Here is a 12,884-nt window from a genome sequence, read left to right on the forward strand (position 1 = left end):
AAAGCCAAATTTGAGATAGGCCAAAGAGAGTTTCTGATCATTGATTAATACTTTTGTCCTGTTCTTTTTAGTTTTGATTATCTTGACCCCCAAATCCCTGCAGCGATGCACTTCTACACCCAAAACAGAATACTCTAATATCCCACTCCCAGAACCAACACTCCATGTCTTGTCTTCCACCTTTTTGTTACTTAGCCCACTGAAAACTGCTGACTTTATTTCCTTCAGTTCCAATAAGCCCATCACTTCCCAGATGGATCAGTCTGAACCTCATGATAACCCACTCAGGCTACTTTCTCACCAGCATACTTTCATCTCAGGCATCCTTGTCCTTCTCCTGCATTTGTCCTGAAAATTCTCAACTTAAAACAATAGCACAATCTGACTTCTTCATTCCAAGACAAGAGCAGCTAACTGGTCCTAAGGAAAACTGCATAGACACAGAGATTGGTATCTAAGCTGCCACAAGCTCTTGTGGCATTCAGTCTTAGCTGGAGACCTTTAATACCCTTAGTAATCTATGTATTTGTCTTTGCTTAGCAGCATATTCCATAATGCTTTGCAGTATCTAAGTTTTCTTCTCTTTCTTCAAGTTTTTCATTCAATCCTCATCTCCTTCACTTTCAGTAAAGACCTTACTTCACAGAGATAATAGAAATCATTAAGTAAGAAATCCCTCAACTATTATACTCCCTAGCTAAATTATTTATTTCTGGATCTATTGTATCGCTTTCTTTTCAGTCTCAGAGAAAGAGGTATTGCAGCCTGCACTGTTCCAAAGTTAATCCTTCCATTTAAATTCTTGGTCCTTTCCCAGGTGTATACCCTGAGCCTGCCATCAATTATCCCCTCTCTTTCCTCAATTTTCAGCTTCTCCCACTCTGCTGACTTTTTCCCAAACCTGTGGATGTGCTCAAGTCTTTTTCATCTTAAAAAGAAAATCCCAGGCCAGGAGCGGGTGGCTCATGCCTGTAATCCCAGCACTTTGGAAGGCCATGGCTGGTGGATCGCTTGAGTCCAAGAGTTCGAGACCAGCCTGGGCAACATGGTGAAACCCCATCTCTACAAAAAAATACAAAAATTAGTTAGGCGTGGTGTGCACCTGTAGTCCCAGCTACTTGAGAGGCTGAGGTGGCAGGATTGCTTGAGCCTGGGAAGTTGAAGCTATAGTGAGCCATGATTGCACTGCTGCACTCCAGCCTGGGCGAGAAAGAAAGAGAGAAAGGGAGAAAGAGAGAGAGAGAGAAAGAGAAAGAAAGAAATGAAGGAAGGAAGGAAGGGAGGAAGGGAGGAAGGGAGGAAGGGAGGGAGGGAGGGAGGGAAGAAAATCCCTATAACTTCTAGCTACTACTTTTCCAGTTTTTTCCTTCGTCATCCAACTTGAATTTATATTCATCTGTTTCTTGATTGCTCATTTACTCAATTCATCATAATTTGAATCCCCCCATTAGCCCAATAATATTGCTATGTAAAGGTTAACAATAACTTCCTTATTGTCAAATCCAGTGAAGACTTTAGATTTGTTTTTCTTGAATTCCTAGGAGTATTTAACAATGTTGACCACTTTTCCTTAAAATTCTTTTCCTTTGGCTTCTGTGACACCATTGTCTCTGGCTCTTTGCCTCTTTAACAATCCCACTTGTCTCTTTCAATTTTTCATTCATTCCTTAAATGTTGGTATTTCCTAGAGTTCTACTGCCAGCTCTCTTCTCTCTTATGTTTTTCTCAGGCAGTTCATCTATGACCATAGCATCCATATTTCATAGCTCCCCAAATCTCATCTCTAGCTCAGATCTCTGTCTTGGGCAAAACCCCACTAGAGCCTATGTTCAAAAGCGAATTCAGTACCATCTGCCTCCCACCAAATTTACTCATAATTGCATTCCATGTCCTGGTTAATGTTTTTCTTTTCTTTTTAGTATCAACCAAGAAGTACTGAATGGCATCAATTACCCATTGAAACTTAAACTTAACTTAAACTTTTTCCTCCTTATTATGCAATAATCAACTAACATCACAGTTTTGTCACCTCTAACTCATCCTCCATAGTGCTATCAGAGTGTTTTAGCAAATGTAAACCTGATCATATTATACCTCAGTGTAAAATAATTCAATGTATTGCTCCCAGCTACTAGTGAGGAAAAAGTCAAAACTTCTTTTTCTCATGCTCCACTCTCAATTGCTTTTCAAATCAAATCATCCATGCCCAAGGCAGGACTGTTCTCTTAATCCTTTGATGCTGGACACTCCTGTCCTACCTTCTCCAGAAAGACAGAACAAAGTGAAACAAGAGGTGATGGTGGTAGAGAAGAAAAACAAGGAAGGGAAAAGCAAATAGAATAAAGAATTTGAGGAGGCACAGATGGTTAGACACTACCAGGGGACAAAAAGACTGTGACTTTGTCACTGGTTTCAAATAAACTACCCCTGAATACAAATAAAAATAAGCAAATGAAGGCAAGATGGAAGACTTACAAATATAAACAGAAAAGTGGGTGGGACAGCAGACCACCAGTCAAACAGAAAAGGCATGTTTGAAGTGTCACTGTCATTTGGGTATAATATCTGAAAACTCAAAGTTTTTCTCTGCTTTTATGATATTCAATAAAAAATTAAGAATTGTACCTGTTCACAGAATAAATAGAATGATAATTTTCATTTCACAATTTATGCAACATATTTAATCTATTTTTGACAATTCCATCACATTTTTTAAAGTTGTGAAATTTATTTTTCTAGGAAATTGAAAGAGCATATCTCCTTGTTTTTTTCCAAAATTAGTCTTAAACTGATTAGGCTTAGGCAGTTTCTTACTCATCTTTGTGTTTTCAGTGCCTAGCACAGAGCAGACACTTCAATAAATATTCGTTGAATAAACAAAGGAAGGAATTATTCATAGAAGACTCTGATGCTCTACAGAGAAAAGAAAGTGCTCTCAGTTCTTGACACTTACCTGGTTTAGGGCTACATGCATCTGATCTACTAAGAACACATAGAGCTCACTGATAAATGTCTGAAGTTCCTCCTGGCTTTCAAATGATGTTGTCTTCAAGTATTTATCTCTCACAATCTTTACCACAGCATGCTGCAAGACACACAGATCACCCATCTGATAATACAGTCCAGCACCATGCTGAGAGCACGGGTCTCTCTAGGGCTTTCTGGTCTAAAGCTGATCAAAATTTCAGAAAGCGATTGATTTCTCCCTTGGTGGGTGGTAGACTATCAGCTCTCCAAATTTCCCCCAATCAACATACTCTGTATGATTTCTTCTTTCCTTAACATCACCATCATTACTAATTGAAGCAATGCAGAGCTCATACTATATGAAGAGAATCATAAAGCTGAAGAAAATCTGAGCATTAGGTTTAGGCATTATGTCTCTCATGGTGGCCATATGGTTCAAAGGGGAAAGGGAGAAAGGGCTGGGCTGAGAATCCAGAGAATGGAATTCTGGTTCTAATGCTGCCACTGTACAACTTCATAAATTATTTTACACTTTGGTACCTCAGCTTCCTCATTTGTTAAGAGGATATGTAGTTCTGGTATTATTATTTTACTTTAGAAGATGATTGAGAAGCCAAAGAGAGACAAGTATAGAAGCTTAAAATGCTGTACAAATATAAACACAGCATGTTGCTATAGCCAGGACAGCTTCTCCTTTTTTCCCCACTAAGGTAACATTATTGCCAGGTTTTATAATCCATGCATTATATTATTTAATTCTCATATGACCTTATGTGATAATATTAACCTCATCCCTGTTGTTAGGTAAAGAAACTGAGGCACAGAGAGATAAAGTCACGTTTCAAGGTCACCCAACTAGTAAATGTGGAACCAAGAGTCAAACTGAGACATGACGACACCACCTGCTGAGAATACCCTCTTGCTTCCATGGACATTTGTTGTTTTTCACTCTATGACTTCCATGTTCTTTCTTTATATCTGTTTAGTACAGTACAGGACACATAGTAAATGTGTGTACAAAGGCAGTGTAGTGTAGCAGTTAAGAATGTGAGTTCTGGATCCAGACTGCCTGAATTTAAATCCCAACATTGATCTTTACTATCTCTGTGACTTTGGACAAATTCCTTAGCCAACTAATATTGCATTTTCCCATCTATAAAATGAGCAACACCTACTTTATAGGATTGTTATAAGGATTAAATTAGTAAAATATGAAGCATTGATAAATTGGCCTGGAAAACAGCAAACATGTAATAAATGTTAGCCATTATTATTCAAGAAATGATTATTAAGTTAACTATTTCTCAAATTTTAGTGATTCTATAGATTAGGGAAAGATTTGGAGTTTTTTGTTTTTGTTTATACATTCTGAATTTTAAAAAGTAAAATGTAATGCCAGTAATTAAATGTATCCTAACTCAAGACATGCTACTCTAGTCCTAATGATTAAGGCCTCCTTTCTGATAACTGTTTCGTCTTCAATTTTAAAACTAAAATTAATTCTTTTAGAGAGATTTGAATGAGAGGCAAGAAGAATTAATTATGGAGTCAGTACCAGACAGAGTTTCTGCCTCCTACAGTGACAATGAAATCTGGTACAAAATCTGGCCCAGCCTCAAGTGAATAATTAGTTTCTTAAAAGCTCCCGTTCAGAATATATGTAATAATTTATTCCAAGACTGAAAGAATGGAGCTTCTCCTGACACTCTATCATAGAGAACTTAGCTCTTTGCCCCACCAAGAAAGGTAAGAGTATAGCTGAACATAATCAGAGGAGAAAATGTGATGTGGGTATGTGGAGAACTTGCTCCATAAACACCCATGGAGTAATTAAACAAGTGAATGTTTTACCTTGAGTTGTTCTTTGAAAGCAAAGTATTTTCCAGAGCAATTAAGTTCATAGCTGAGCTGGCACTTCTGCTCCTCCAAGGTTTCACTATCCATATCACTCTCCAGTTTGGCCACCTGTTTTCCAAACATTCTGTAGTATTCATCTAGAATGGCTCTAGAAATATTCTTGATCTGTATGTGGTAGTCACTCACTGCCTAAGAAAATACAAAACATCTGGTAGACGCCTCAGAGAGGTCAAGAGCATGGATTGGAAGTCTAAAACTGGATTTGGTTTTATGTTCCATGATACTTTATTAGTTTGTTTGTTTGTTTGTTTGTTTTAGAGACAAGGTCTCTCTCGCCCAGGCTGGAGTACAGTGGTATGATCATGGCTCACTTCTCCCTTGAACTCCTGGCCTCAAGCAACCCTCCTGCCTCAGCCTCCCTAGTAGCTGAGACTACAGGTGTGTGCCACCACACCCAGTAATACTTTAAATGTAAAATGCCCTTTTCTTCCCAGCTGAGAGACCACCAGCCAAAGATTAAACACTGTATGCTATATGCCATTGATCACAAATGGAACCAGCAATGAAAATACGTAAAGCTTCAAACAAGTTTTCACCCCTTCTGGAAGACATATTAAAGAGTCCATGCAATTAACAAGTGCATGCACTCAATATCTTATTACTTATCATTTCAACTTGGCTTTGGCACTTGCCTTCTGAGCTCCTCCTGTCCGACGGGTAAGAGGAGGCCTTGGAGGAATCATTTCCTTGACCCTGTATCAGGAAAGAAAAAAAATAAAAAAACAAAAAAAAATTTATTATCTACAGATGTATATTTTCTTTTATCTTATCCTCAAAGTGTCTGGGTGGGGGAGATCTGAGGTCTGTTCCCCCACTGCACTTGAGCACTGTGCTGTTCTCTCATGTAAAACCCTAGATGTGAACCACAGCAAAGTATATGGCTACGGACCATACAGAAGGGAGGTGAGGAAGCAGCTACTCAGGGAGTATCTAAGTTGTATTTTTGGTTAATTTGAGCCCTGGCTTTACCCTTACGTATTTAAAAACTTGTGGTATACAAGGGCTGTTTGACTGGGGTTTTGGAAAGAAATGGGTGTCAACATTTTAGAGGCACTCAGTAACATCTCTGAAAGCAGAATGATTTGGAAATCTGAGTGGAATAGGCAAGCAAAACCTCTTCTTTCCTCCCCGTCTACAATAAAAGTGTACTCTTGGCATAATTTATAGGGCTGCATTAAATTACAATAATGCTATCAAAACTTAATCCAAAATGTGAGTAAAAAACCACATTTTGTCAATGTCAAACTACTTATGTCAAAACCTCTACCTTCTATTTTCAGAAGCCCTTACAAGAACCTAGAAGGAATTAAGTTATAGCTCTTCTCCCTTTTAGTTTCAGGTTCTTGCTAAATATATTATACTACCTTGAAGTCCACAATCAAACTCACAAAATCTATTTTTCTTACTAGATCCTATGTAATGATATACCTCTGTTCATAATTACTAATTTTAATTCTATTTATTTAAATAGGTAATCTATTTATATTATTCAAAATTTAGAAGGTACGAAACTGTATAGCAAAATATCTCCTTCCAACCTTATTGCCCAGCCTCCTAGTTTCCTCTCCAGAGACAATGTTATTCATTCATTCAAAATAGATACTGAGAGGCCAGCCATGGTGGCTCATGCCTGTAATCCTAGCACTTCGAGAGGCCGAGGCGGGTGGATTGCCTGAGCTTAGGAGTTCGAGACCAGCCTGAGAAACATAGTGAAATCCTGTCTCTACTAAAATGAAAAAAATTAGCTGGGTGTAGTGGTGTGTGCCTATAGTTCCAGCTACTCAGGAGGCTGAGACATGAATTTCTTGAACCTGGGAGGCAGAGGTGCAGTGAGCTGAGATCGCACCACTGCATTCCAGCCTGGGCCACAGGGCAAGACTCTGTCTCCCAAAAAATAAAAAAATAAAAATAGATACTGAGTGCTTATTTTCCATCAGGTAGTTTTCTAGGTTTGGGAATAGAGCATTAAACAAAATAGACAAAAATTCTTACCCTCATGGAGCTTACATTCTAGTAGGGAAAGAAAGACAATAAATAAGATAAACAAACAAGATAAATATGCTAGTAATATGTCCCATAGAGAAAAATAATGCAGGAAGGCAGACAGACTCTATTGGGGGTTGAGGGTAGTGGAATGCAGGAGCATATTTCACCAGGAAGGCCTCGCTGAGATGTTAACGTTTGAGTAAAGACCTGAGGGAAGTGAGGAAGCAACTGACATAGTTTGGATATTTGTCCCCATCCAAATCTCATGTTGAATTATAATCCCCAGTGTTGGAAGTGGGGCCTGGTGGGAAGTGTCTGGGTCATGGAGGTGGATGCCTCATGGCTTGGTGCTGTCTTCATGATAGTGAGTAAGTGCTTGCAAGATCTGGTCATTTAAAAATGTGTGGCACCTCCCCCAACTCCCTCCCTGCTCTCTCTGTCTTTTGCTCCTGTTTTGACAATGAAATATTATTTGGTAATAAAGAAATTAAGTATTGATATATGCCACAATATGAATAAACCTTAACAACATTAGATTAAATGAAAGAAGCCAGTCACCACATATTGTATGATTCCAGAGTTGGCAAATCTATAGAGAAAAAAAGTAGATAAACGGCTGCTTAGACTTGGGGGTTCAGGGTGGAAGAGGTGGCATGATGGTTGAGAGGAAAAGGAGAATGACTGCTAATGTACATGGGATTTCAACTTTTGGGGTAATGATAGTATATATAAAGTTGACTATGGAATGGCTACACAATTCTGTGAGTATACTAAAAGCCACTGAATTGTACACTTTATTTTATTTTTATTTTTCTAAGTTCACATCGGACAGGTAATATGATGATGTCACAACAAAGCTTGAGGGAGGCACAGCTCATGTATGAGCATGAACACCCAATCATCACGCTTATGAACTACAAAGGGATCAGAACTGGATACTTTAAATGGGTGAACAAAATGAAAGAAAAGGTGATGGTGGTAGAGAAGTATATGGTATGTGAATAATATCTCGAAAAAGCTATCATTAGAAAATAAAAAAGAAGAAATTGAAGGGTAGAATGGTAGATGTAAGGAAACTTACATCTAAGTATATCTTACATCTTACATGTAAGTCCCAGATGAGGGACTACTATGGCTCTGACCAAAGAGTATGTGAGAATTAGGAGAGGTTCAGCTTGAAATATAAATGTGGGAGCCATCAGTGTATAGATGGTATTTAGAGCCACGAGACTAGATAGAAACCAAGGAAATAAGTATAGATAGAAAAGGTGTTCAAGCACTGAGCTCTGGGGGACTCCAACATTTAGATGCTGGAGAGATAAAGAAGGCCAGGGAGGGAGGAGTAAAGCCAGGAGAGTATAGTGTCCTTACAACCAAGTGAAGAAAGTTCCTCAAGGAGGGTTGAGTAGTTAAATGCTGATGACAGGTCAAAATGACCCCAAGAACACACCACTGGATTTAACAGTGTGGTGGTCATTGATGAGCTTGATAACAATATTTATCTGAAGACAAGTTATTGGAAGTGAGTTACCTGATCAAAGAGTTAAAAGATCCATGAATTTGTATTTAGATAGCATTACCAAATTGCCCTCCACTGGAATTTTACCCAGTTTATACTCGCACCAGCTTATATGAGAGGACCTGTTTCCAAACATCCTCAACAACACAATAAATTATCAAGCTTTTTTTATTTCAGCAATTAAAAAACAAGGTACTTCAGCATAGTTTTAATGTGCATTTATTTTATTACGGAAATAGTTTAGTTTCTTTTCATATGTTGAAGACTGCTTTAAATTTAGGTATATTCTTATACAGTGACATAGATTTAGCAGTTTGGTATACCCATGCCTCAGGCTCAGCCTGCAACGAAAGGCAAATAATCTTTTACAAGTATTGACTATAATTTTCTTTTTTCTTTTCTTTTCTTTTTTTTTTTTTTTTGAGAGAGGGTCTCGCTCTGTTGCCAGGCTGGAGTACAGTGGCATGATCATAGCTCACTGCAGCCTGGATCTCCAGGCTCAAGCAATCCTCCTGCCTCAGCAACCCCACCGCCCCCCACCACCGGGTAGCTCGGACTACAGGTATGCACTACCACACCCAACTAATTTTTTTATTTTTAATAGAGATGAGGTCTTGCTATGTTGCCCAGGCTAGTCTCAAACTTCTGAGGTCAAGCAATCTTCCTGCCTCAGCCTCCCAAAGTGCTAGGATTACAGGTGTGAACCACCATACCCAGCCTAAGTACAATTTTCTATTGTTGCCATTCTTTTTTGTTTTGAGATGGAGTCTCACTCTGTTGCCCAGGCTGGAGTGCAGTGGCACAACCTTGGCTCACTGCAAGCTCTGCCTCCTGGGTTCACACCATTCTCCTGCCTCAGCCTCCTGAGTAGCTGGGACTACAGACGCCCGCCACCACGCCCGGCTAATTTTTTTGTATTTTTAGTAGAGACAGTGTTTCACTGTGTTAGCCAGGATGGTCTCGATCTTTTGACCTCGTGATCCACCTGCCTTGGCCTCCCAAAGTGCTGGGATTACAGGTGTGAGCCACCACACCCGGCCTATTGTTGCCATTCTAATTAGCTTTTGCTCTATAATTTTATCACTTGGCCTAGCTTGGAGAAGAAATGCCTTTGAAAAAAAAAACTTATTGCTAATAACTGTTTCTCACAAAAAAGTCCAAAAACATTTAAACATTGATAAACCACAGTTTTTAAAGTACTATATAGAGTACTTTATGTACTATAAGTGGATAAAAAGTTTCAAGATATAAAAGTCATAAAAATTGCTTCTGTATTTGTTGTAAAACTGTCATTAAGGATACTGTTATACTGTCACTCTGTATTCCCCTATGTAAGAGCCCAAATGAGAAATCTGTTTTAGAATTTAATGCCAGGAATAAATGTGGTCTCTTTTGTGACTAATGTGCTTCTTCCTTTATGATTAAAATTATATAACTTACAGGGCTTCCCTTTTTGTTGGACAGCTCAGATTTGATGCTTATTTATGAGAGCTCTATTTAATGCGGCCTTCCTTTTCCATCGTTTTGAGTTTTTGACTATTTCTAGATTATTACTTTTATTTTGTATGTCATTTATGGTAAATTTTTTTTTTTTGAGACAGAGTTTTTTGCTCTTGTCATCCAGGCTGGAGTGCAATGGCATGATCTCAGCTCACTGCAACCTCCACCTCCTGGGTTCAAGCAATTCTGCCTCAGCCTCCCAAGTAGCTGGGACTACAGGCACCCACCATCACGCCCGGCTAATTTTTATATTTTTAGTAGAGGCAGGGTTTCCCCACATTGGCCAGGCTGGTGTCGAACTCCTGACCTCAGGTGATTCACCTGCCTCGGCCTCTCAAAGGGCTGGGATTACAGGCGTGAGCCACTGCACCCGGCCCATTTATGGTAAATATTATTAGATTATTTTTGGAAGGGGACTAAATGCAAAGTTTTTAAAAACTCAAGAACTCTCAGGTATAAAAGATGAATGTGCCATTATAAGCAGGTAATTCTCAAAAGAAACTTCCAAATTATTAATAATTATGTGTAAAAATGTTTCACTACACAATTTACAATGTGGATTAAAATTAAAATGAGAAACTTTTCTCCCCATCAAAATAGCAAAAATAAAAAAGTATTGTGTTGGTGAATATGTGAAGAAACAGTAGTCTCATATATCATTTATAGAACTGTAAATTTTTTGGAAGGCAATTTGGGGATATTTATCTAAAGTCTTAAAAATACATGTAATAAATAGTCTCCAAGGTAGAAGCTGCTATTTTCTTTCATCTTTCTTTGAGTATAATGCTCCTCACATCAAGAGGTAAAGTCTAGATGTCAGCAAAACGACCGGGCAGGTAACTCTAAACTCCCATCCCTCCAGATAAACTTAAAAAAAAAAAACACACACACCAGAAACTGAAACTGTCAGAACCAACTTGTTAGAATGTTGGGAAAAAAGGGTTTACAGTAACAAAGAGAATCTGAATCCAGAAGAAGGCAATTCTAAATCAGCAGGAAAGCTTTCTGGCATTTTTACTTGCTCTTGCTCCGCTGCACACCGCATCCCCAGCTCAGCAGCAGTCTCAAAGGTGGCAGCCTGGATTTCTAGTGTGGCACACTGGTCCCTGATTCTGGAGGAAGCAGAGCAGACCTTATTCTCAAATTACTGTGTTTGTTCTAGCTTGTCTGGGACTGCCTGAGAGACTGGTGCAAGGCACTCATCTCTGTTTCTCCTAACTCAGTGCGGAAAAGCACTGAAACCTACACAGGGTGGAAAAGTATTGTTCAAAAACATTGTAAGGTTATCAAATCCCCAAAGCTGTTTGGGGCAAAGCATTATGGTTGAGACATATAATAGACCACCTAAAGCCTGAGAAGAAAAGCTGGAGAGTTTCTTTGGAAATTAGAGCATTCAAAAGTACTTGTGTGTACTGGGAAATTCAGAAAGCCACATGTATGCCCAGGACAGGATGTATGCTTAAAGTTGACCAGAGAAAACCCTATGCTTTCACCACTGATTGATCTACAGGTTCAGTATAAGCAGGAAGAAAAGGCTGAGGCAGAAATATAAATGGCCTGGTTAAATGTTAAAAGAATGCCTCAGCACAGAGCCATCTGTAAAGATTGGCAGAAAAGATTTTTTGTTTTGTTTTTGTTTGTATTTAGATCCTGGCATTCAAGGAAATCTGTCAAAACACTGGCTGAACACAAGTTACACCTTCAACAATAAAAAGCAGCCAAACGTAGCGAAGGGAAAAGTTTGATTTCCAAAATTCCCACATGATAGTATCCACATGTCCAGTTTTCAACGATGATAAAATACAAATAGTACAAATAAATAAAAGTATGACTCTTTCAAAGAAAAAAATATAGAAATTCTCCCTAAAGAAGCCCAGGCATCAAACTTACTACACAAATACATTAAATCAACTTTACTATACACACTCAAAAAGCTCAAGGAAGCCACGGACAAAACAAAGAGAAAAAAGGAAAGCAATGTATGAACAAAATTAGAGTATCAGTAGAAACAGAAATTATTTTTTAAAAAAACAAGAAGTCTGGAGCTTAAAAGTACAATATTTGGAATAAAAAATTCACTAAAGGGTTCAACAGCAGATTTGATCAGGCAGAAGAAAGAATCGGCAAAACTGAAGATGGAACAATTAAAATAATTCAGTCTGAGGAACAGAAAGAAAAAGAATGAAGAAAAGTGAACAGAATTTAAGACCTATAGGATGCCATCAAGCTGACCAGCATACACATTATGGAAGTTCTGGAAGAAACTTCCCCCTTTCTAGAGAAGAAAGGGGGAAGAAAGAATTTTTAAGAAATAATGGCCCAAAACTTCCCAAATTTGGTGAAAGATATGAATTGACACATCCAAGAAACTTAATAAACTCCAAGCAGGAAAAACTCATATGTCCACACTAAAACACACCATAGTCAAATTGTCAAAACACAAAGACAAAGAAAAAATATCAAAAACAGCAACAGAGGTGTGACTTGTCACATACAAGTGATCCTCAATAAGATTAACAGCTGATTTCTTATCAAAACCATGGAGGCCAGAAGTCACTGAGATGACATATTTAAAGTCTGAAAGAAAAAAAAATTGACAACTAAGAATTCTATATCCAGGTGTCTCATGCCTATAATCCCAGCACTTTGGGAGGCTGAGGAGGGATGACCACTTGAGGCCAAGAGATTGAGACCAGCCTGGGAAACATAGTGGGACTATGTCTCTACAAAAATTACAGAAAAAAAAGGTAAAAGAATTCTATATCTAGTAAATTATCCTTCAAAAGTGAAGAAGACATTAAGACAATCCCAGATAAACAAAATTAAGACAGTTTGATAACAGGACCTACCTCATAAGGAACGCTAAAGGGAGTCCTTCAGGCTGAAATGACAGGACACTAGTCAGTAACTTGAAGTCAGATGAAGGAATAAAGAACACTAGTAAAGGTAAATATGAAAGCCAGTATTATTGCACTTTCAACTTGTAACTCCTCTT

General features: G+C 38.4%; 1 protein-coding gene and 1 non-coding gene across 23 annotated transcripts in view; both read right to left on the reverse strand.

Moving 5' to 3' along the window:
- The window catches only part of CFAP70 (cilia and flagella associated protein 70), a 109,218-nt gene that overhangs the window by 40,327 nt on the left and 56,007 nt on the right, over positions 1–12,884 (reverse strand). For all 22 annotated transcript variants that reach the window (XM_047424551.1, XM_017015627.2, XM_017015621.2 and 19 more), the window contains 3 exons: positions 5,517–5,577; positions 4,819–5,013; positions 2,954–3,085 (listed from right to left, as the gene is read on the reverse strand). In XM_047424551.1, coding sequence (XP_047280507.1) covers positions 2,954–3,085; positions 4,819–5,013; positions 5,517–5,577 — 388 coding nt within the window. The remainder of the gene's footprint in view (positions 1–2,953; positions 3,086–4,818; positions 5,014–5,516; positions 5,578–12,884) is intronic.
- On the reverse strand, positions 7,693–7,796 carry LOC124902577 (small nucleolar RNA U13). The gene has a single exon (XR_007062410.1). It is a non-coding gene; the product is annotated as a small nucleolar RNA U13 (small nucleolar RNA).

Source organism: Homo sapiens, chromosome 10, assembly GCF_000001405.40.
Source record: "Homo sapiens chromosome 10, GRCh38.p14 Primary Assembly".
NCBI classification, from domain to species: Eukaryota; Metazoa; Chordata; class Mammalia; order Primates; family Hominidae; genus Homo; species Homo sapiens.